Here is a 21,887-nt window from a genome sequence, read left to right on the forward strand (position 1 = left end):
CACTAAATGAACAAATGCATAATTGCAGCCTGTGGTAAGTGCTATGATGTCAGGAAATACTTCTATAAGGAACTGATATTTAAGCCTGTTTCGAAAGTTGGGAGGACCAACTATGCAAAGAGTCAGAATGCAAGAACATTGTATCCAGGGAGAACAGAAAGTGCAAAGCCATCGAGGCTGAGAGAGATTGCTGGGTTCAAAGACTGAGTGGCTGGTGGGTATTAAACCTGTGGGAGATCAGCACACTGTGAGCTGGAGAGCAATGTGGAAACCTTTATTCAGGGATGTAAATGCCTTCTGGGGCAGACAGACAGTAGATATTCTCATCTAATGCAGCATATTCTGGGGTATTATTAGCTCAAACTGGAAGGGGGCCACTCTAGGGTGGAGGCTGGACCTCACCTTAGGATTCCTCGATTCTTGTACAACACTCCTCTCCTTACTCAGGAGGCTTTATTTTCTTAAACACAGCTTTATTGAGGAAGGATTAACTGTACATATGTAAAGTGTACATTTTGATAACTTGACTTCTGTGCATACCTGACAAACTTGACTGTAATCAAGGTAGTGAACATCTGTCACCCCAGAAGCTTCTTCCTACGTCGCTGACATCCTTCTTTCCGCTCCTCCCCTTCCACCCTCCCCAAAACAACCACCAATCCACTTTCTATTTCTACACACTAGTTTGCCTTTTCTAGAATTTTATATAAATGGAATCATAGAGGAGGTGGAGTTACTTTTTATAGCTTTTAAGCCCACACAGAATAAAAGTATTCTAATCTTTTTTCCATATGTCTTTTTGTGTCTGAAAAGGATCTTAAACATCTCTAACAATAACCTCCTTGTTTTCTCTACCCGTGGTCTAAAACCTGTGTTTGCTTGATGCTAAACGGTGGAGGGATTTTTCTGACTTGAAAAAGGCAGAGTTTACCTCTCCTTTTCTTATCTCCATTATTATTTTGAAAAATGCAATTGACCTAGGAAAGAAAAAGGGGGATGACAGTGACATAAGATTGGGGGGGAGAGGGTAGAGAGGTGAAAGGATGAATCAAGCAAAGATGCTGCTTCATCGTTCTGATCCCAGAAATTAGATGTGTGGATGACCAATTTTCAGCTAATTAGCATAAAACAAAATACATTTCAGGAAAATTGTGCTCGACACAATTTAATCTCTGATGGTTCAGAACAGTCTCTGGGTCATCATGAGCATCAGCTCTGGAATCAGAAGCACTGGGGAGAAGGATTAATGGGGAACTGGTATTCAGGGAGCTCAACATATATGCTCACAATCTCCCCATTAACAAACAAGAACTTCTTTCTATTTTATTTCAGTACAGCTTGTCCTTTGTTTGCTTCCTGAATAATTTGAAAACATGTACAAGTTGAAGTGTAATGCAATATAAGACTTTCAGATATTAAACATTACATAGTTTAGGTATACAATTGATTCATCCATTCATTGATCTGGTAAACATTTATTAAACATGTACTGTCTCCAGGATATGTTTCTAGGTACTGAGTATATGGTGGTGCAGAAGGTGATTCTGTATGTGCCTGTAATTGTTTGTGTTTGCGTATGGTTCAGTGGGATTTGTTAGAGATATGATTAATTGCTTGTAAAATAGGAAAGTCTACCCTGAGCATAGGAGTTTAAAGCAATGCAACAATTTTGCAACATCCACCACAGTTAAAAGTGTCCATACTCTTTGATCCTCTGATAGCACTAGTGGAAATTTATCTTGGAGATACACTCACCCCTGTGCTCAAAGATGCATGTATTACGAGGCTCATGAAGGCTTGTTTGTTGTACCTAAATCCCCGTCAAGGATGGACTAGTGAAACGAGTCATGATATATATTTATGGTTGAATACTATGCATCTGTGAAAAGAAGGAGGTTGGTTTGTCTGTACTGACATTCAACAAACTCAGACATATGGTCAAGGAGGAGAAAAGCATGAAGCATAACGTTATGTGTGGTAGGTTTGCATTTGTCAATGGGATGGAAAAGAGGGCAGTATACGTGCAGCATAGGAAAATACAAGACACTGCTAACTTCTGAAAATTTATTGATGAGCAGGGGAGTGAGGATGGAAAAAGAGCCACCTCTTTGAATTACTTTAAATATTTCCAAGGTGAATGTACTGGATTTTCAGTTTTGGAAAGCTAATCTTAAAAGTGGAAAAATAGATAAAACAAGTATAAAGGATACCAGTAGATTTTCTAATGTTAACCTTGGGACCTCATATATTATTGGATGCAAACGTCTACAAAGGTTGCTATTCTGTCCCCCTTCTCCCTTGACCATGCCGTGAAACAAAGAGAAAATGAACAAATCCCTGCAACCAAACCCTCTCACCAGATTTGACTACTGCCAATGAGATTATTGAGTTACCAACTGCCTCTCAGAACCCTAAGGCAATTTGGAGCCCAGAAGGAAAGTGAGGCCCCCAGGTGGATGTATGGAAGGAAGGTGGTGCACCTTTGGGCCCTTGTGATCCAGGTGAGTGACAGAGTGACTCACCTAAAAAGAGAGGGAGGTCTCTGCAGTTGGAAGCTGCAAATGATGATGGTAGAATTTTGCACAACCCAGGGATCACAAGCCCAGTTTTAGGGGAAAGGGCTCTAAGAGTAGAGACATCCATATAGGCGCAGATAGTCCTCCTTTATTTAAATACACCAGCAGCTGCAAGGAGTAAAGGGTCTTGAGGTGGAAAAGAAGAGGGGTCATTCCAGATCCAAAAAATCGAGATGACTCCTTTGAGCAATTTCATTCACTCGTTTGCTGAACAAACCTGAATTGACACCTTCTTGGCACAGCCTTGCACTACGTGATGAGGTGAGGTGCTAGGACCAGGTCACTAGCATTCACTGAACTTTTCATTTCATGCAAGGGAAAGAGCCCCCTATCAGGTAATCTCACAGACAAATATACAATTAAAAACTGTGATAGGGGTTATTAAGGACACTGCAGAGTAAAACAAACAAGCCTGATTATCTTACAGGGAGGAGGAGTTATAATTCACCTGTTTATTTAGAAACCTGCTAATACTAATCACTAAGAATCTCTGTGTGGTGGCTCAGGCATGTATTCCCAGCACATTGGGAGGCTTTGGAAGGAGGATTGTTTGAGGCCAGGAGTGTGAGACCAGCCTGGGCAACATAGCGAGACCCCCCGTGTCTCAAAAAAAAAAAAAAAAAGAAAAAATAGCCAGGTGTGGCACCACCCTCGTGTAGTCCCAGCTTCTCGGGGAGGCTGAGGCAGAAGGATCCCCGGAACCTAGGAGTTTCAGGCTGTGGTGAACTATGATCATGCCACTGCACTCCAGCTTGGGTGACAGAGCAAGATCCTGACTCTTAAAAAAAAGATCGTTCCCACTTTACAGTTGACTACATTGAGGGGTTGAAAGATGAATTTGCTTGCAAAACACAGCAAATATGAGTGGAGACAAGACTTCAGCCAATTAACACAGGGCTCCGGCTTAAGGAGAGCCTGAGCACAGTAGTTGCATAGTTGGTTATTTTAACAATAAAATCTAAGAACTTCGAGTACACAGTGGCTAATAGCTAGGAGGGATCTCTGGGCACGAAGATTAGTGTAGTTGCTCTGGTGACATTTGGCATATTAACATGAGACATGAAGAAACCTAAACCATATTCATTCACCATAGTTAAATGAGGCAGGAGTCAACAAAATACAGCCTGGCATTAATAGCCTAAAAACAAGATTTTTGAGTTTTTCTTAAAATTGTGCACGTAATATTACAAAGTGGTCATGTCACAGGAGAAAATTTTAGTGACTAAAGGCTGGAATGTCTGTCTATATTTATTCTAGTATATAACTGGTAAAGAATATGTGTTCCCTCCCATCCCAGGGTCAGCTGTGATATAGAATTAAGATTTTTAACTTTGGGTAGTAAAAGGACACCAGGGCATCCATGCTCTCCCTGAAATTGTGTATCGTACAGTATTTCTGGAAAGAAGTCTTCATTTGTTTGTTGTTTTTTTCTCCTAGAAGGGCATGGCACACACACACATAAAGGTTAAGAAAAAATACTGTTTTTGAAAAGCCAAATAACTGTGGTTCACTATGTCGAGACATGTGGCCAATCTCATTTTCCTACAGATGTTGTTGGACATAAATTGATGATTTCAAGAAGCAAAAAGAATATTCTGCAATGCTCAGTATTAAGGAGTTCAGTGTGATCAGATGGGCCTTTGTCAAACTGAAGTATTTTAATTAACTTACACCGTAAAAGTGAAAGTGTAAAGCTTTGCTTTTCTTCCTAGCTAATCAATGAAGATTAATATTCTATGGGAACCCGACTTTGCAGACGGAGCTGAGCGGCACTGTTTTCCCTACCATTTTTTCCTCATAGTAAATAAATCATTTTTATTATACTGTATGAATTTACTTAGCTCTTTTAATAGCCTTTGTAAGAATAATGCTTCCTTTGATTATATTACATTTTTAAATGAGTGCAGTGTGGAATACAGTTCTGCTGTTGGGGGAAGGGTGGTGAGAAAAGGAAAGAGATACTGATTATATCAGTTTTATCAGCTTATCCTGTGTGTTTTAAACCAGATAAAGCAGTGTCTGAGTATCCTGGGAGTCTTAGGAGTAAATTACTAAGTATTTGCTAGGATTGAAATGGCTCATACCTGTGCCTTGTATAAAACTACTTCTGGGGAAGATGAGGTTAGTCTGAAAGGACCTGGTCTTTATAAAATTATTCTGATTGTTATTTTGTACTTTTTTTTTTTTATCTTCAAGGTTCTGGCCAATCTATTTGATTTTTTTTCCCCCAAAGGAGAGAAGTAAACTTTATAATTCCAGGGCTAACATCCACTTGTATAAATTGATCAGTTGAATTGAAAAGCTGCTGACTGGCTGATTTAGCATGTTCTTCAAGTGGTCTCATTCACAATTGATAAGCTGACTTGTCACCCTGAATTATTGGAGGCTTAACCCTTGAAGGACAGATACAGTTTGGCCTATACAGATTGTACTTTTCATGAGACAGGAAAAGGGAGGAAGGGAGGTAAGTGTGTGTGTGAGAGAGATAAATTAATTTCATTAGAAACAAAAATATCCTGTGATCTTATGCGTTAGACCAAGTGTTGAAATATTAAAGTTCCTGATGAGAAAATTCAGAATCATACAAACTTTGTTTTTCTATGTCATCCATCTTGTACATAGTCAGCAAACCAATTCATTTTTTTGAGATGGGGTCTGTCTTCCAGGCTGGAGTGCAGTGGTGCAATCTCGGCTCACTGCAACCTCCACCTTTTGGGTTCAAGTGATCCTCCAGCCTCAGACTCCAAAGTATCTGGGACTACAGGCACATGCCACCACACCTGGCTAATTTTTTGTATTTTTTTTTTTTTTTGTAGAGACGTGGTTTCGCCATGTTGGCCAGGCTGAACTCCTGGCCTCAAGTTGTCCGCCCGCCTCAGCCTCCCAAAGATTTGGGATTACAGGCATGAGCCACCGTGCCCAGCCTAACAAACATTCTTTTAACATATATTGTCCATCAAGTCAGAACCTTTAATAGCTCCTATTCAGAACCTATAATAGCTCCACACTGTTTATGGAAAATAAATAATGGCTGAGGCTGAAAATTTAAGGTTATCTTAAATGCAGCCTCAATATGTAAACTCTGTGTGTGTGTGTGGGTGTGGGTGTGTCTCTCTGTCTGTCTGTCCGCAAATGGGTCAAAGTGAAAAGCTCTTGTGACCTTGATTCACAAGACTCAGGTTTGAGCTTCATTTCTGCAGTTTGTTAGTTGTGTGCTTACTCATCTGTTCTAGGCCTCTGTTTTATGATTTGGGTAACAGGAATATTAGTAATGACAGCAATAATGGGGATGACTGGGCTATAATGCTACTTACCTAATTTAACTGATGTTTTCTGGAAAGAATGAAATCAGAAAGCATATCTGCAAGTGCTGGCACCCTCTGTAAGGCGCTGCCGAATTGGTTGGTTGTTCTTACATGAATTCAGGGGTGAGTCAGACCCATCGAACTGGAGTCAGAGAAAGCCTTGCAACCTGGACAGAATGGAAAATTAATTTTTCCTATTGCTTCAGGCACATGTTGAACCACGGTCAATTCAAGTTTGAGATCTCTGCAGATATATACGTTTTTAATTTGTCAACTAAATAAATACACAGATACATAAATACATTGAGCTTTCTGAGGAGACCTGGAGTCTGCATATTCTGTGGAGTTGATTTGAATGGAGACCCAAGAGTGTACCTCTGAGTCATTTTGGGTAAGAGTAATGCTCTATAGTTTTTTATCTTTTTTTGGACTTTGAGGACTTATACAATATAATGAAAAACACTGTTTTTAAGTCTTTCCGCAGTAAAGATTCTTACAAAGCAAAAGATAAAAAGTTTCCCTTCTTTCTCATCTACTTGCCATGTTCTCCTCCTGTTGACAATATCCTCCCACTTCCCTTTCGATCTTGTTATGTATTTGGTTGAATCAGATTCCATTGCTGATATTTGACTACTTAGATGTATTGTAACAGGAATATATTATGCAATTATGCACCCGCACCATTGGAGCCACATGATGAATGTATGCAAATTATTATGTTAGCATAGAGTGCAATACTACACAGTGTCTTCTGACTCAATATCCTTCCACCCAAGAAACACATCTTGGAGATTGTTGCATGTCAACATGTGGAGATCTATTTTGTTCTTTGCAAGGCTGCATAATGTCCTATGTTATAGATGTGTTCTCTTTTTTTTGTATATTTGCTCCCTTATTGATGATGGGCATTAAAGTTCCCTCCCGTGCTGATGGACATTAAAGTGGCCTCCCACTACCAAGTTTTCACAGTTACTCACAATGGCACTCTCGGGTCATGCATCTCAGTGTGTGCATGGGTGATTTCTTTTTATAGGATATATTCCTAGAAGTAGAATACTTGAGCTTTAAAAAAAATCACTTGTGCCTTTTGCATCGTGAGTGCTTAGTGAATTTATAATTATTTGATCAATAATGAATGTGCAATGAATTTTATGAGCAAAGAACTGTCACCTCATATTTGGCAAAATTTTCTCTCACCTCAGACTTGGGCTATTTTAAGAAAAAAGAAACCTGAAACCTCTTGAGTTTTTAACTTTCAGTTGTACTTAAGAGATCAGAGTTGGTGTTCAGAGGCAGATCAGTCTTTACGTGGAGGTGCTAAGGTTGCAAATTACAAAATAATTAGGAAAGTGATTGTGTGTGCACATGAGTGTACTTGTGTACACATTTTGGAGATTTTATATTCAAACTGCAATGAAAAAAATATGAATACCTGGGTAGCTGCCATTTTGCTATGGAGGTCCAAGGTCACATATTTAATAGTTCTAAATTTATACCCCTGGGAAGGAAGTATATGCTCACTGTACCCTTTAATAAAGGCACAGAAATGTACCGTGCAGTCTGCATGAAAGCATGAGTGAGTGCTATTCATTTTAAGAAGCACTCAAGCACTGTGAAAATTAGCAGTGGAACATGGTTCCAAATGAAAGTGACACCATGAGCCTAATGAGAAATTGAATACCATCTATTTATCTCCTCTAGCCCAAGATCTTTCTCTTCTGTCATTTGAATGTTTCTGAAACGCCTTTTCTTCCTGGGCTGAGAAGTGCCTCATGCCTTCTTCCCCTGCCTCTCTGGAAATGAGAGTCCTTGTGCTGTTTTCCTTTCTACGCTCATGAAGAGTCCTGCTAGGTGCATGGAAACTTTGCTTTCTGTTTACATGTGCTTCTCTGTCTTGCTAACTCGTTGTCCTAAGTTTTAGGTGTGATAGCTGTAGTGGTTTTCATGAAGCCAAATCGTAAAGGTCTGAGAAATACACACTGTGTGTTGCTTGGCTTGTCTTAGAGCAAACCAAAATTTGGAAAATTGTCTGGGAAGGGTAAGATCACTTAGCTGTGAAGCCTCTGCTTTTAGGAACTGGAGAAGTGATTTGAGGGTGAAAATAGGGTAAGCGTATTTACTCTTTAGCTCCTTAAGGAATGCTTCTTCACCTTCTTCAACTCACTGAGTTTGTGTTTGAAAAATATTCCAAAGCCTTTGCTTAAAAATAATGTATTATATAATATCCTTCGATTAAGTTTCCAACGTGTAGATTCTTGTTAGCACTTAGTGGTGCAACTTTTATAAAGAAACCTGGTATTTTTTTAATTAACTGATGAAAATGGATGTAAGTAAGGGGTGGACATTCCCATGTCAATGAATCTTGATGGTGGCCTCCGGTCACTCATGGAAAAATGTATTTTTGATTACTTGTGTGCCAGCAACGTTGCTAGGCTTTGGATGCATGGAAGCGAATAAGAAATATGAAAGTCCTACCTACATAGAGCTTATATTCTAATGGAAAACAGAAACTAATTCTTTTGCCTTAGTTACCTATTGCTATGTAATTACCACCTCATAGTTGCTGTGGACTGAGAGTCCGAAAGCATGTTTGCTGAGTAGTTTTGGCAGGTGTTGGCAGGAGCTAAAATAGTGTCAAGGCTCTCTTTGAGGGGGACCTTCACTGAGCTCTCTCACCTGGCTGTTAGCAGGCTGGAAGTTTGCTGCCCACAGATTTACCTCTGGAAAGGTGTCTTGGGACAAAGTACATAGCTCCTCCAGAATAAGCAATTCAAGAGAGAATGAAAGAGGGGACACCCAAGACAGAGAATCCAGTCGCTTTTATTGCTGATTTAGGAGGTGACATTCCATTTCTCATGCTGCATTCTTTTCATCCCTATAATTAATTAATCTAGCCTGCCCCGAAGGGGAGGGAGTTACACATGAACAGGGATCACTGGGGACCATGTTACAGGCTTTATACCACATTTATTAAATGCCTACGCTGGGGAGCACTGAGAAAAGCATAAAATAGCAGTGATGCGTATAATAGGCAATGACACTTATTGGGGGCTTCATATTGTATCAGCTGTGTACCAAGGGTAAGGATAATGAAAGCTCACATATATGGAGTAACCATTGTGCCAGGCACTGTACTAAGTGGCCATGTGCCCTTTCTCATTTGGTTTTCATAACAGCCCTTTCTCAGTGGGTACCGATCAGTACCCATTTTACAGATAAGGAAACTGAGGCACAGACAACAATGGCTTCTGAAATTCTCTTCTCCGTGTCATGCACTGCATTTTTCTCCCGTTCACCAGTTGCATCTTAGGTCTCAGTTCATTTTCACCACCTTCCTGAATATATAGAGAGAAAGCCCATGCAGTAAACCAATCAAATCCTGGCTATCCGAGCTGCTCTATCTGCCTCTGAAAGCCTAGGAGTAAAGGAAAATTGTCCTCATGAGCAGTTCATGAGGTGTCATTCAAAGCACTTTTGAGGCAAAGTATTATGTTTCACAGCCATGGTTCCCAGTAGGGACAGCAATATTGCAGTGAAATGCACCAACATCTCTGCCCATCCCAAACTCTCCTCTCAAACCAGTTTATTGAAATGAGGCCTCACTTCACAAGTAAATAAGTAGTCAAGCTCTGGATTTGTCTCTGCTCCAGCTTACTGTATATTTCCACTAAATGAGTCCATTAAAGCTTAAACTAAACCTTTTGGAAAAGAAAAACAAAGCCCACAGCAGCTGTCCAGGGCTGCGGGAGTTAGAAAATGCAATTCATGTGACTTGGTGGAATGCCAGTGAAGCTACCATTAGATTATTCTGTTTACTGTTAAGGTACGTGGAGACAGACAGGCTCTGGAGATGTCCGACCTGCATTTGGATGACAGGTATTGACCACCTCCTTGATGCCAGGCATGGTGCTATGCAGAGGCATATAACAGCACACACAGGACACAGACCATCCCCTCAAGGGTTTTGCAGTCTCGTGGGAGTCATCAACACAAGATTTAAATAATGTGTCATGTGTGCTAGGGAGAGGAAGTTTGGGGTTCTTTGGGAGGATATAACCTTGAGAAGAATCAGGTAGGGAAAGTCCATAGAGAAGGGTTTGTTTCCTCTGAGATACGTAGGCCAAGAAAGAGTTAGGGAAGTGAAGACAAGAGGGGACAGTTTTGTCAAACATCAGCTATAAATACTCAAAAGCAGCTAAAATAATGATATATCTGCAAAACTGGAAGCAGTTCAGTAGGGTTGAAGAAAAGATAGTAAAGTGAGGGCTGGAATGGGAGGGCAGAGAGGTGGCAGGTTGGAAGACTAGCTAAGCATTTTGGGCTTTGTAACAAGGGCATTGACACATGTTAAACTCGGGAAAAACTGATCGTTTCATTGTACGAACAGCCTAGCTTATAAAGTTATTTAATTAGAAAATTTTCAGAATACTTTTGATTCGGTGGTAATGTGTCAACAACCCTAAAATGTTATGTGTTTTTCTGTAAAGTATGTGGATGTGAAGGGAAGCAACATGGGGCATGATTATTAAGAGTACAGCTTCTGGAATCAGAGATCATGTAAGTTGGAATTCTAGCTTATCCAATTACTTAATGTGTGAGTTTAGGAAAATATCTATTAACTTACCACCAATTACTTAATGTGTGAGTTTAGGAAAATCTATTAACTTACCACAATCTATAGTACCTCATCTGAAAAATGGGAATAATTAATTAATACTGAGCTCATAGAGCTTTTGGAAGAATCAGGTTAGGTTTTTACGCTGCATAGCACATTACCACCTGCAGAAGCTTAACACAACACTCTTTTGTTATCTAACAGTTTCTGTGTATCAGAAATTTGAGCATGGCTTAGCTGGGTTCTCTGCTTAAAATCTAATAGACTGCAGTCAGGGTATCAGCCAGGACTGGGTTCTCATTAGAGACTCATCTCGAACAGGATCTGCTTTCAAGCTCCCTCAGGTTGCTGGCAGGATTCATTTTGTTGTAGCTGCAGGATTCGTGGCTGCTTGCTTCTGCACATCCAGAAATGGGTGGAGAGAGAGACAGAGACAGAGAGGGAGAGAGATCCAGCAAGAGAGTTGCTATAATCTTATGCAATCACTTAGGTTGATTTCCTCTCTTTGCAATTGTGAATTGTGCTGCATTAAGCATGCACATGCAGGTGTGTTTTTTTATACAGTGACTTGTATTCCTTTGGGTAGATAACCAGTAGTGGGATTAACTGGATCAAATGGTAGATCTATTTTTAGCTCTTTGAGAAATCTGCATACTGTTGCATACTGTTTGCCATAGAGGTTGTGCTAATTTACATTCCCACCAGCAGCATATAAGAGTCCCCATTTCACCACATCCATGCTAACATCTATTGTTGTTTCACTTTTTAACAGTGGTCATTCTGGCTGGGTAAGGTGGTAGCTCATTATGGTTTTAATTTGCATTTCCCTGATGATTAGTGATAAGCATTTTTTTCATGTTTCTTGGCCATTTGTTGGCTATTCTCATCTTCTGAGAAATGCCTGTTCAAGTCAGAGACTCAGAAGGAGGGAGGCAAGGAGGAGGGTAAAGGATGGAAAATTACCTATCGGGTACAAGGTATGCAATTCAGTTGACAGGTACACTCAAAGCCAAGCCTTCCCCACTATACAATTCATCCATGTAAGCAAAAGCCACCTGTGCCCCCAAAGCTACTGAAATTAAAATAAACCTTATATAATCACATACATGTAATCACACTTATCTTATCACCTCTGTCATATTCCATTGGTTAGAAACAAGTTGTGGGTCCTGCTCACATTCAAGGAGGGATTAGTAAAGGCGTGAATGTTAGGATGTGGGGATCATGGTGAGAAGAATCCTCAAGGATGCACACCACAAGAATTTGGTAAAATTGTACACATAAGGACAGAATAGAAGCATTTAGCCTTGTGAAGAATTACCAGGGCACCGAAAGAGAGAATGGAAGCATATACCAAATAGAGCACATAGAGAACTTGCTCAGATCTCTTAACTGTTGTTGTTCTGGTTATGATATGATTTTTAGGAACATGTGGCAGAGTGTTTCTGTGAGTTTGGTAGCAAATACATATTGGATGTACTTGCTTAGTCAGTTCTGTGTGCCAGAGGACACTCATGGGGAGAGATCAAGGTTACTTTTTGCAGGTGGGGCATTTTGTAACTGAATAAAACCCAGTCAGTAAAAGTAAGCAACATGCGGAATCTAGGCAAGTGTTGCAATGTATGTGTGCTCTTGATCTGAGGAAGACCATGCATTTGACTCAGACTAGAAACCTACACCACAGAAATCCCACCCACAAGCAATGCTCTATTACTGTAGGTACAAGGCAGTAATTTTTTTGTGTCCATTCACATATGCATGTGTGTTTGTGTGTACATAATTGACCAACTATCCTCAGGTTTCCCTATGGTGAATGATTTATTGAGTCATCAGACTTGTGGAACACCTACTCTGTGGTGGCCATGATGCCAGCCTCTAGAGATAAAAAGTACAATAAACGAGCTATCTTAAGGAAACTCAAATTACTTTGGCAGACAGAACTAGTAAACTGACCACTGACAATTCAAAAATCCATGGGGGGAGTTCCATTTCGAGTTAGATGGGATATATTTAGGGCAATTCCCATCCTGTTTCACTTAGATATGTTTCACTACATATCAAAGTAAACTTCAGAGGAAAAACAACAACAAAAAACCACCCAGACATACAGGAGGACATTATATAAGGATAAGAGGGCCAAGTCACCAAAAAGACAAAACAATCTTAAACAATCATGATTATTTATGCACAAACTATGGGACTTTTAAAATAAAGCCAAAACTGATAGAACTGAAAAGAGAAATGGAGAGTCTACAAACATAAGTGAAGTCTGTCTCACTATTTGATAAAATTAATATTGAGAAAATTAACGAGGCTGTAGAAGTACTGAACAACACCATCAGCCAACAAAACATAGTTAAAATGTGTAATCAACACCATCCAACAGCAGCAGGATGTCCGTTCTGTTCAAGTCCACATGAGATATTTACCAAGATAAACCATATTCTGTATTATAAAAAACTTAACAAATTTAAAATAATTGAAATCATATAGTTGCTTTCCTCTGACAAAATTGAGTTAAGCTGGAAATCAGTAACATAAAATAAACTGGAAAAAATCTAAAAGCACTTGGAAATTAAACCGCAAAGTCTAAATCACCCATAGTTCAAAGAGGAAGTCTCAAGGGGAATTATAGAACTTAAATGAAAATACATTTTACAAAATATATGGTGGGAAGCGAAAGCAGTGCTTAGAGGGAAATACATAATGCTAAGTGCTTCTATTAGAGAATAAGAACGTTCTCAAATCAACAATGTAAGTGCATATCATAAGAGACTATTAAAAAAAGCAAATCAAAAACTAATACATGCAAAGAGAAAGAAGGGAATAGTAAATGTAAGATTAAAAAAATGAATTTGAAAATCAAAAAGCAATCAAACCTAAATCTGGCTCTTTCAAAGCATAGAAGTGATGAATCTATTCTAGCAAGACTGACAAAAAGCAGAGATGACAAAAATTACAAACATCACATAAATTAAAAAGATTATAAGGAAATAATCAAATAATCTATGCACATGTAGTCAACAACTTACATGAAATAGACTAATTCCTTGACAACCATTACCAAAACTTATTCAAAACAAACAGGATAAGCTAAATGGTTCAATAGACTTATTTAAAATATCCTGCCAAAATAAAAATTTTCAGACACAAATGGTTTCATTGGCTATTCCACCAAACATTTAATGTTGGGAAAAAAAAAAAAAAACTATACACAGTCTCTTACAGAAAATAGAAGTGGAAGATATACTTCTCAACTCAATTTATGAGTCTAACATTAATCTGATACGAAAACCAGGCTATATGTAATATTTTATATATGTATATATACACACACACACACACACACACACACACATACGTAAACATATATCATGGAATACATATAATACAGAAAAATAATAACATAGCATGACCACATAGTATTAGTCCCAGGAGTCCAAGGCTGGTTTCATATTGAAAAAAATCAATGTTATGTACCATATTAACACAATAAAGAAGAAAACTAACACATGACCCTGTAAAATAGTCCTGAACAGTATTGGAAAACAAAAGCTAATCTACATTGATGATAAAAACTCTCAACTAACTAGAAATAGAAGGCACCTTCTGCAACCTGGTAGAGGATGTCAACAAACAACCCCACAGCTAATATCATACTTATTGGTGAAAAAGTGACTGCTATCTCCATTAGAGCAGGAACAAGGGAGGAGCTCCACTCTCACCAAACTTATGCCACATAGTACTGGAAATCTTACTCACTACAATAAGGAAGAAAAAGAATTATAGAGCATATCGGTTGGAAATTAATATATAAGGGCATCTTTAATCACAGATAATAGAATTGTCTATTTATAAAATCCCAAGGAACTCTAAAACCTCTTAGGTGAAAACATAAATATCAATCATATATCTATATACTAGGAAAGAACATTTGGAAGTCAAAACTTAAAAACAAACCATTTACAATAGCTCCAAAAAATGCAATACTTAGCTATAAATATAACAAACATATAAGAGATCTTTATGCTGAAAACTATAAAGTATTTGTGAAATTAAAAAAGCAAATCTAAATATATACATAGATTCAAAGACTCATTGTAGTAAAAGTATTAATTCTGTACAAATTGGTGTATAAGTTTAACACAATACAAATCAAAATTCTAGCAGGTATTTTTGTAGCTATAAACGTGAAGATTCTAAAAATTATAAGGAAAAACAAAAACTAGAATATCCAAAATAAAGAAGAATAAAATTAGGTGAATATATCTAATTTATTTTATATAAGCCTATAGAAGTAAAGATAGTGCAAACCAGTAAAGGAGAAGACACATTAATCAACTGGACAAAATAGAGACTCCAGAAATAGACCCACAAAATATACTTAATTAAATCTTAGAAAAGGTACAAAATCAAAGGAGAAATGATTTTGTTTTCAACAACTGGTGTTGGAATAATTGCAAACACATTTGCCAAATCATATGCTTTACAAAAAAATTAACTCAAAATGGATCATAGATCTAAATATAAAACGTAGAACTGTAAAGTTTTAGAAGAACACATGGGTAAAATATTCACGTCCAAAGGAGTTAAAATAAGAATTTTTGGCCATGACACCAAATGCACAATCTCACCTCCCCAAAAAGGTTTAATTTGACTTAACAAAATTGTTAATAAATTATATGTGAAGGTCTCTATTAAAAGAAAGAAAATACAAGAATCTGTAAAGAAATATTTGTAAACCACTCTTGACAAATGTTCAGTATCTAGAATATATTTTGAACTCTCAAAACATAAAAGTAAGAAAGCAAACAAACTATCTTAATAATGGGAAAAAGACTTGAATAGTCACTTCACTTAGAGTATATTCATACTCCTTTCTTATTGGGTCCTGAGTGGGGGGAAAAGAAGAGAAGAGGATATTCATCAGGCAAAAACCTAAAAAAGAAACAAAAAACCGTGAAAAGGTATTTAACATCATTAGCTATTCAGCAAGTGCAAATGAAAACTAGGATGGAATACCATTAAACACCTAGTAGAGGCATAAGATAAAAAAAATTGACAAGACTTAGTGCTGTGGAGGATTCAGAGAAACTGGATTTCTCCTGTACTGCTGGTAGGAACATAGAACAATGCAGACATTCTTAAAACATTTTGACAGTCCGTTACAAAGTTAAGTATATGCTTATCATAGAGCCTAGCAATCCTACTCCTGGGTTCCTTACCCAAAGATATTGTATATTTATAAAAAACATGTACATGTCTGTGTATAGCAACTCTACCATAGCCCCCTAGAAACAAGCCATATGTCTTCAAATAGATGAATTTGAAGCATTACATGTACACGTGGAATACTACTGAACAATAAAAAGGAGCAACTATTGATATATGTGACAACTTGGATCTATTTCAAAAGCATTATGCTAAGAGAAGGAAGCCAGTCTCAAACGATGACATAGTGTATAAATCCATTCCTATGACATCTGCAAGAAAGAAAGCTGTAGGTTTGGGGAGAAAAGATCAGGGGCTGCCAGGGATTAGGGGTTGGGGGGAGGGTAGTTGCAAATGAATAGCACAAGAGAGTTTTTGGGGTGATGGAACTCTTCTGCTTCCTAATTGCACAGCCGTTATAAGAATCTGTAAATTATGTTAACATTTATGAAATTGTACATCCAAACTTTCAAATTTATGGTATATTAATTCCAAATAAATGCAAGCCCATAGATTATATGAGGATAAAGTCTCTGCATATTTTTGTTGTTATATCTCCAGCCCATAGCATCATTCCTGGCAAACATTACACATTTAAAAATATTTGTGGATGGAATAAATGAAAAAGTGTAGAATTACCATTGTTATTATTATTTATTTATTATTTTTTGAGACAGCGGCTTCCTCTCTTGCCCAGGCTGGAGTACAGTGGTGCCAATACAGCTCACTGTAACCTTGACCTCCTGGGCTCAGGTGATCCTCCTGCCTTAGCTTCCTGAGTAGCTGAGACTACAGGTGCACCTCAACATAATTGGCTAATTCTTTTAATTTTAGTAGAGATGGGGTTTTGACATATTGTCCAGGTTGGTCTCAAATTCCTGGCCTCAAGCAATCCTCCTGCCTCAACTTCTCAGAGTGCTGGGACTGGAGGAGTGAGCCACCCCACCTGGCAAAAATTATCTTTTAAAAGCCATATGTTAGGAGCTAGTTTAGGGGAAATATGGTGACTACTTGGACATATATATTTATATTGTATGATGATACTTTACAGCTATAGATTACTAATAATTTATAAAGTACATTGTTTTATATTTAGAATTTGCAATATAAGAAGAAGGGTTTTGCACGAGGGTGGGGCTGTGGTCATTTGATCCAGTTTCTGTTTTAAGAACATGCCACAGTCTGCAGTGGAGAAGAGAAAGGAGAGAGGGAAAGTGGAATCTCTAAGTTGTATTAATGCTACATCAGTGACTATTCTTCTACATAGGTCTTTGTGCATATGATGTCTATTTAATTCTAAAAATGGAATTACTAGGTCAAAGGTTATGTATATTTAGAAATATTACACATATATTACATGACCCTCCCAAATGCCCAGTGTTTTATACTTTTACCAAGTCTCAGGAGAGTTTTCAACGAACTTGTACATAAAATAAAAGCTGGTGGCATGGTGGCTCACATCTGTAATGACAGCACTTCGGGAGGCCAAGGCAGGAGGACTGCTTGATCTCAGGAGTTGAAGACTAGCCTGGGCAAAAATATTTTTTAAAAAATTGCCAGGTGTAGTGGTGTGTGCCTTTGGTTCTAGCTACTCAGGAGACTGAGGTGGGAGGATCCCTTGAGTTCAGGAGGTTGAGGCTGCAGTAAGCCAAGATCACAGCACTGCACGCTAGCCCAGGTGACAGAATGAAACTCTGTCATAAATAAATAGATAAAGCTGATACAGTATCTGTAATTTGAAATATGTACTGTACACTTCTGAACCAACCATCCTCCCTCCCTTCCTCGCTCCCCCTCCCCTCCCCTCCCCTCCCCTCCTTCCTTCCCTCTCTCCCTCCCTCCCTCCCTCCCTTCCTTCCTTCCTTCCTTCCTGTAATAAGTTGTGAGTTTTCTCATAATGTCTTCACCAATAGGGCAACACATGATAGCCCTCATTTCACATTCTACCTAAAAACGTGAACCTCACAATACTCGAAAATCTCCCCACATACACAAAAAGACTCTATATCACATACGGAAAAGGTAGCTGGCTTTAGTTCAGTGATTTTTCAATGAGGAATGCTGCACTTCCAATGAAAACAGACAGCCAGTGTAGAGACAGTCCGTATCCTGTTTCTACTGTATGACTCTGATTCATAAATTACTAAAGTGTATTCCTGACAAATAAATATTTCACCAGCCAGTGACAGCGTTATGAGCTAATTAAAATCTGAGCCCTGGAAGAAGTGGTGCCATTAGCTCAATTCACAGGACTGGAAAGTATGTGTCTGCTCACGGACTGAGAGGTAGACATTTACATATGGGAAGGAGGGGGCCGGCTTATTAAGAGCAACATTGAGGTTTGGATGAAGAGAGCACTCTGTCAAAGCTGAGATATTTAAAGAAAAGCCAAAATGACAATATGAGAGGTTTCTTTTGCCCTTGGGAAGAAAGAGGTAACACTGCATGGTGGTGTTAAGTGTAAGGGCTTGGGGGACGGGCCACACTGTCTTGAGTTCAGATCCCAGATCTGCCATTTAGCAGAGATAGAACTTTGGGGTTGTCGTTCAGCCTTTCTAACCTGCAGCATCCTCATTTGTGCAGTGGGCATAGAAATCCACATAGTGGCAAGGGTATAAAATCAGATACTACTTTTAGATCCTCAGCAGAGTGCCAGGCAAATCAATAGATGGTTGATACCTTGTCACTAGCGTCAACTCTTGTATCCACAAGAAGTCATGTTTAAACGTCCAGTTTTCTGTTAAAAATTTCAAACCTGTCGGATGCTAAGCAGTTTTCTAGTTTGAAGTTTGTTCCTTCAGAAAATATGGTTAACACACATTTTTTGATAACTTATGATGTGCCAAGTCATGGATGGTTCTAAGCATTTTACGGTCAACATCTCATTTCATCATCGCAATAATATAGAAGATGGATATCGTTAACTCTACAGAGGAAGCTGAGGAACAGCAGCAATGAGTTATTTGCTCTAAAATTTAACACTTTTTTTTTTTAGACAGATGCCTAAACTCCCTTTGTTTCACACAACTATGCAAATTGTGAGGCCAAGGATATGACTGCAAACGATTAAGGTTTAATTTACATGAATAGCCAGGCGAAGTGCCTCACACCTGTAATCCCAGCACTTTGGGAGGCTGCGGTGGGTGGATTACCTGAGGTCAGGAGTTCAAGACCATCCTGGCCAACATGGCAAAACTCCATCTCTACTAAAAATACAAAAATTACCTGTGCGTGGTGGCACACACCCGTAATCCCAGCTGCTCGGGAGGCTGAGGCAGGAGAATCACTTGAACCTGGGAGGCGGAGGTTGCAGTGAGCTGAGATCGCACCATTGCACTGCAGCATGGGCGACAGAGCCGGACTCCATCTCCCCCCACCAAAAGAATAAAAAATAAAAAAGTTTACATGAATGAGCTTTCTTCCCCATGAAAATAACTGTGTCACTTCTCCCTTGGTCTAACCCACACAAAATCCCCACCCTGTCTGGCACAGATACACTTAACATGCAATATTAAGTACAATTTCCATTTTATTTTTCTCCAGAGTATCGTGTGTCTTCAGTCTTGAAGGACTCAGCTCCTTACATGGGCTTTGGTGGGGGTCATGGGGCAGCACCCGCAGGTCTAAATCGAGGTGGGGGTTTTTGGTCCCTGTGGGGTTCACAAGATCAATTCCTGACTACTTTACTGTGAACTGTGCAGCTCACACAGTAACGTGGCTTCACATACAGCTTGGGAAGCACAAAGGCATCGAAGACGCTTGCTTCAGAAACATCCCTGACTGCTGTGGCCTCTACTATGTTTTGAATACAAATTTCTTAATGGCCTTGTCTTTGGGCACGCGCTGGGCACAGTTCGTGCAGCAAATAGGCTGCATGTGGCTGCAGCCCTTTTTGGCATGACTGTTGTTCTTCCTTTTCTTAGTCATCTTGGAGGCAAGGACCGGAGATCCTAAGTTGTTCTTTTAAATATATATGTATATATATATAATATTCGTCTGGGTACATTGGCTCACGCCTGTAATCCCAGCATTTCGAGAGGCTGAGGCGGGCAGATCACCTGAGGTTGGGAGTTTGAGATCAGCCAAAGATTTTCTTTTAGCCTGGCCAATACGGTGAAACCTCATCTCTACTAAACATACAAAAAAATGAGCTGGATGTGGTGGCAGGCACCTGTAATCCCAGCTACTTGGGAGGCTGAGGCAGGAGAATAGCTTAAACCCGGGAGGCAGAGGTTGCAGTGAGCCAAGATCGCGCCACTACACTGCAGCCTGGGCGTGACAGAGCGAGAATCCGTCTCAAAAAAAAAAAAAAAAAAATTATTGCAGACCTAAGAGAAAATCTGGTTGGTCCTTCCTAGACCCCTTTTGTTTAAACAGCTATGACTGAGGGGAGCACTTCATGTGGTCATAAATGGTGGCTGGTGTTCTACCCCTGACTGTGATTATAATTTCAGAGAAAGAAAAGTCTCTGTGAACTAGCCACAAATGCCTCCGAAAGCATAAAATCGTTATTCAGCATTCTCCATACTTTCCTGTATCCATGGTGTTGTCAGCAATATGTAATATTATCCATAGTACTTATGATACTGTGTTTGCTTGGTCTCAAGAGAGAAGGTTAAAAGTAACAATCTCAGGTCTGGTTATAAGCATTTTGTAAATAATAACTTATTTGATACTTATTATCACCCTATGCACTTAGCCACTATTATCCCCATCTTATATATACTGTTATGTCAAGGTAGGGAGAAATAAATATGTTAAGAAATAAATAGAGCAGTTTTTGATGACAGGGATTTACTTACAGGTCTTTTGGTATATGGTGTGTACTGTATGTGTATGCACGAGCGTGCATGTGTGTGGGGAATGTGTACATTCTGTATCATGGTGTGAATAAGTTGAGAGTGAGAGTCGGGAGTAAGGGAGATGACAATTGTGTGGTGATGATTTCAAGTTAAGAGTATAAATGTGGAATGAATGAGTTTCTTTCAGAGGACTTTGGGTTGTATATGCTTCAAAACGAGCTTTTATCTTCTGCATTCTTCCTCATAGCCCCGTGGAGGCAGGCTGAAGCCTTGGCACATCTTGGTAGGATGACCTGACTGAGAGCAAAGGTCGTTTGCAAGCATATAAGGACTTTATTAAGCAGCATATTAATCAGGCACTGTTGGTTGCAAGCAACAGAGTCACAATGCACCTGGTCTTTTGTTTAGAAGAGGGAGTTCATTGGCTTACACAACTGCAAAGGTCCGAAAGAGGCTGGGTTCAGATGCACAAATACACGGTTTGAAATCTGGTTCTTTGCTGTTTCTTGGCTCAGCTTTTCAGTCTTGACATCGTCCTCTGGCAAATTCTTCCTTAATGGGGGCTCAAGTGATGCAGCAGCTCCAGGCTTACTTTCTATGAAATGGACAGCCCTGGTGAAAAGCAAATGTCTCCTTCCTAACCATTCTGACAAGAACAATAAAATCCTCAAAGATTTTCTTTCAAAGAATAATAGCATGTATTAAGTGCCAGACACTAAGTCCTTTTTGTATATGAACTCTGTTATTTCCTTGAATCCTCACAATAATTCTGCAAGATAGGTACTATACTTAACCCCATTTTAATATGGTAAAACTTAGTTACAGAACAGTTCTGTCACTTAGCTATTGCTGTGTAATGAGCTAGTCCAAAGCCTAGTGGCTTGAAAGAGTGACCATGAGTCTGATAAATTGGCAAACCAAGAGAGCCTGAATCCTCCAGGGTGACATCAGCGGGGATAGTTCGGTTCTGTACGTGTGTGTCTCTGATATCCCCAGCAAGCTAGCCTGGTTCACTTAGTGAGGTAGAGATACAGCAGTGAGCTGGCACAATTGTACATGCAGAAGGGGCAAAGGTACTCAAAGCCTGGAGAGGCTCATGCTAGGAACTGACACATTCTCATTTCTACCCTATTGTTACCAGAATATGTTACAAGTCCAGTTTGGATTCAGAGGGTGGGGAACTAAACTCTACCACTTGATGGGAGGATGTTCATGGTCATATCACAAAGGGCTAGAACTGGGGAAGAATCGGAGGCTATTTTGGTAATCTGTCTGACATAATGGTAACTTTTTTTTCTTTTTACTTTTTTTTTTTTTTTTTTTTTAAGACGGAGTCTCACTTTGTCGCCAGGCTGGAGTGCAGTGGTGCAATCTCGGC

At 39.2% G+C, this 21,887-nt stretch overlaps 1 protein-coding gene and 1 pseudogene across 30 annotated transcripts in view; one reads left to right on the forward strand and one right to left on the reverse strand.

Annotated features, from left to right (window-relative positions):
* RBFOX1 (RNA binding fox-1 homolog 1) overlaps positions 1-21,887 on the forward strand; it is a 2,473,620-nt gene that overhangs the window by 1,867,285 nt on the left and 584,448 nt on the right. The gene's annotated exons all lie outside the window — the stretch shown is intronic.
* RPS26P51 (ribosomal protein S26 pseudogene 51) lies at positions 19,020-19,655 on the reverse strand (annotated as a pseudogene).

This window comes from Homo sapiens, chromosome 16 (assembly GCF_000001405.40).
Source record: "Homo sapiens chromosome 16, GRCh38.p14 Primary Assembly".
Taxonomy (NCBI): domain Eukaryota; kingdom Metazoa; phylum Chordata; class Mammalia; order Primates; family Hominidae; genus Homo; species Homo sapiens.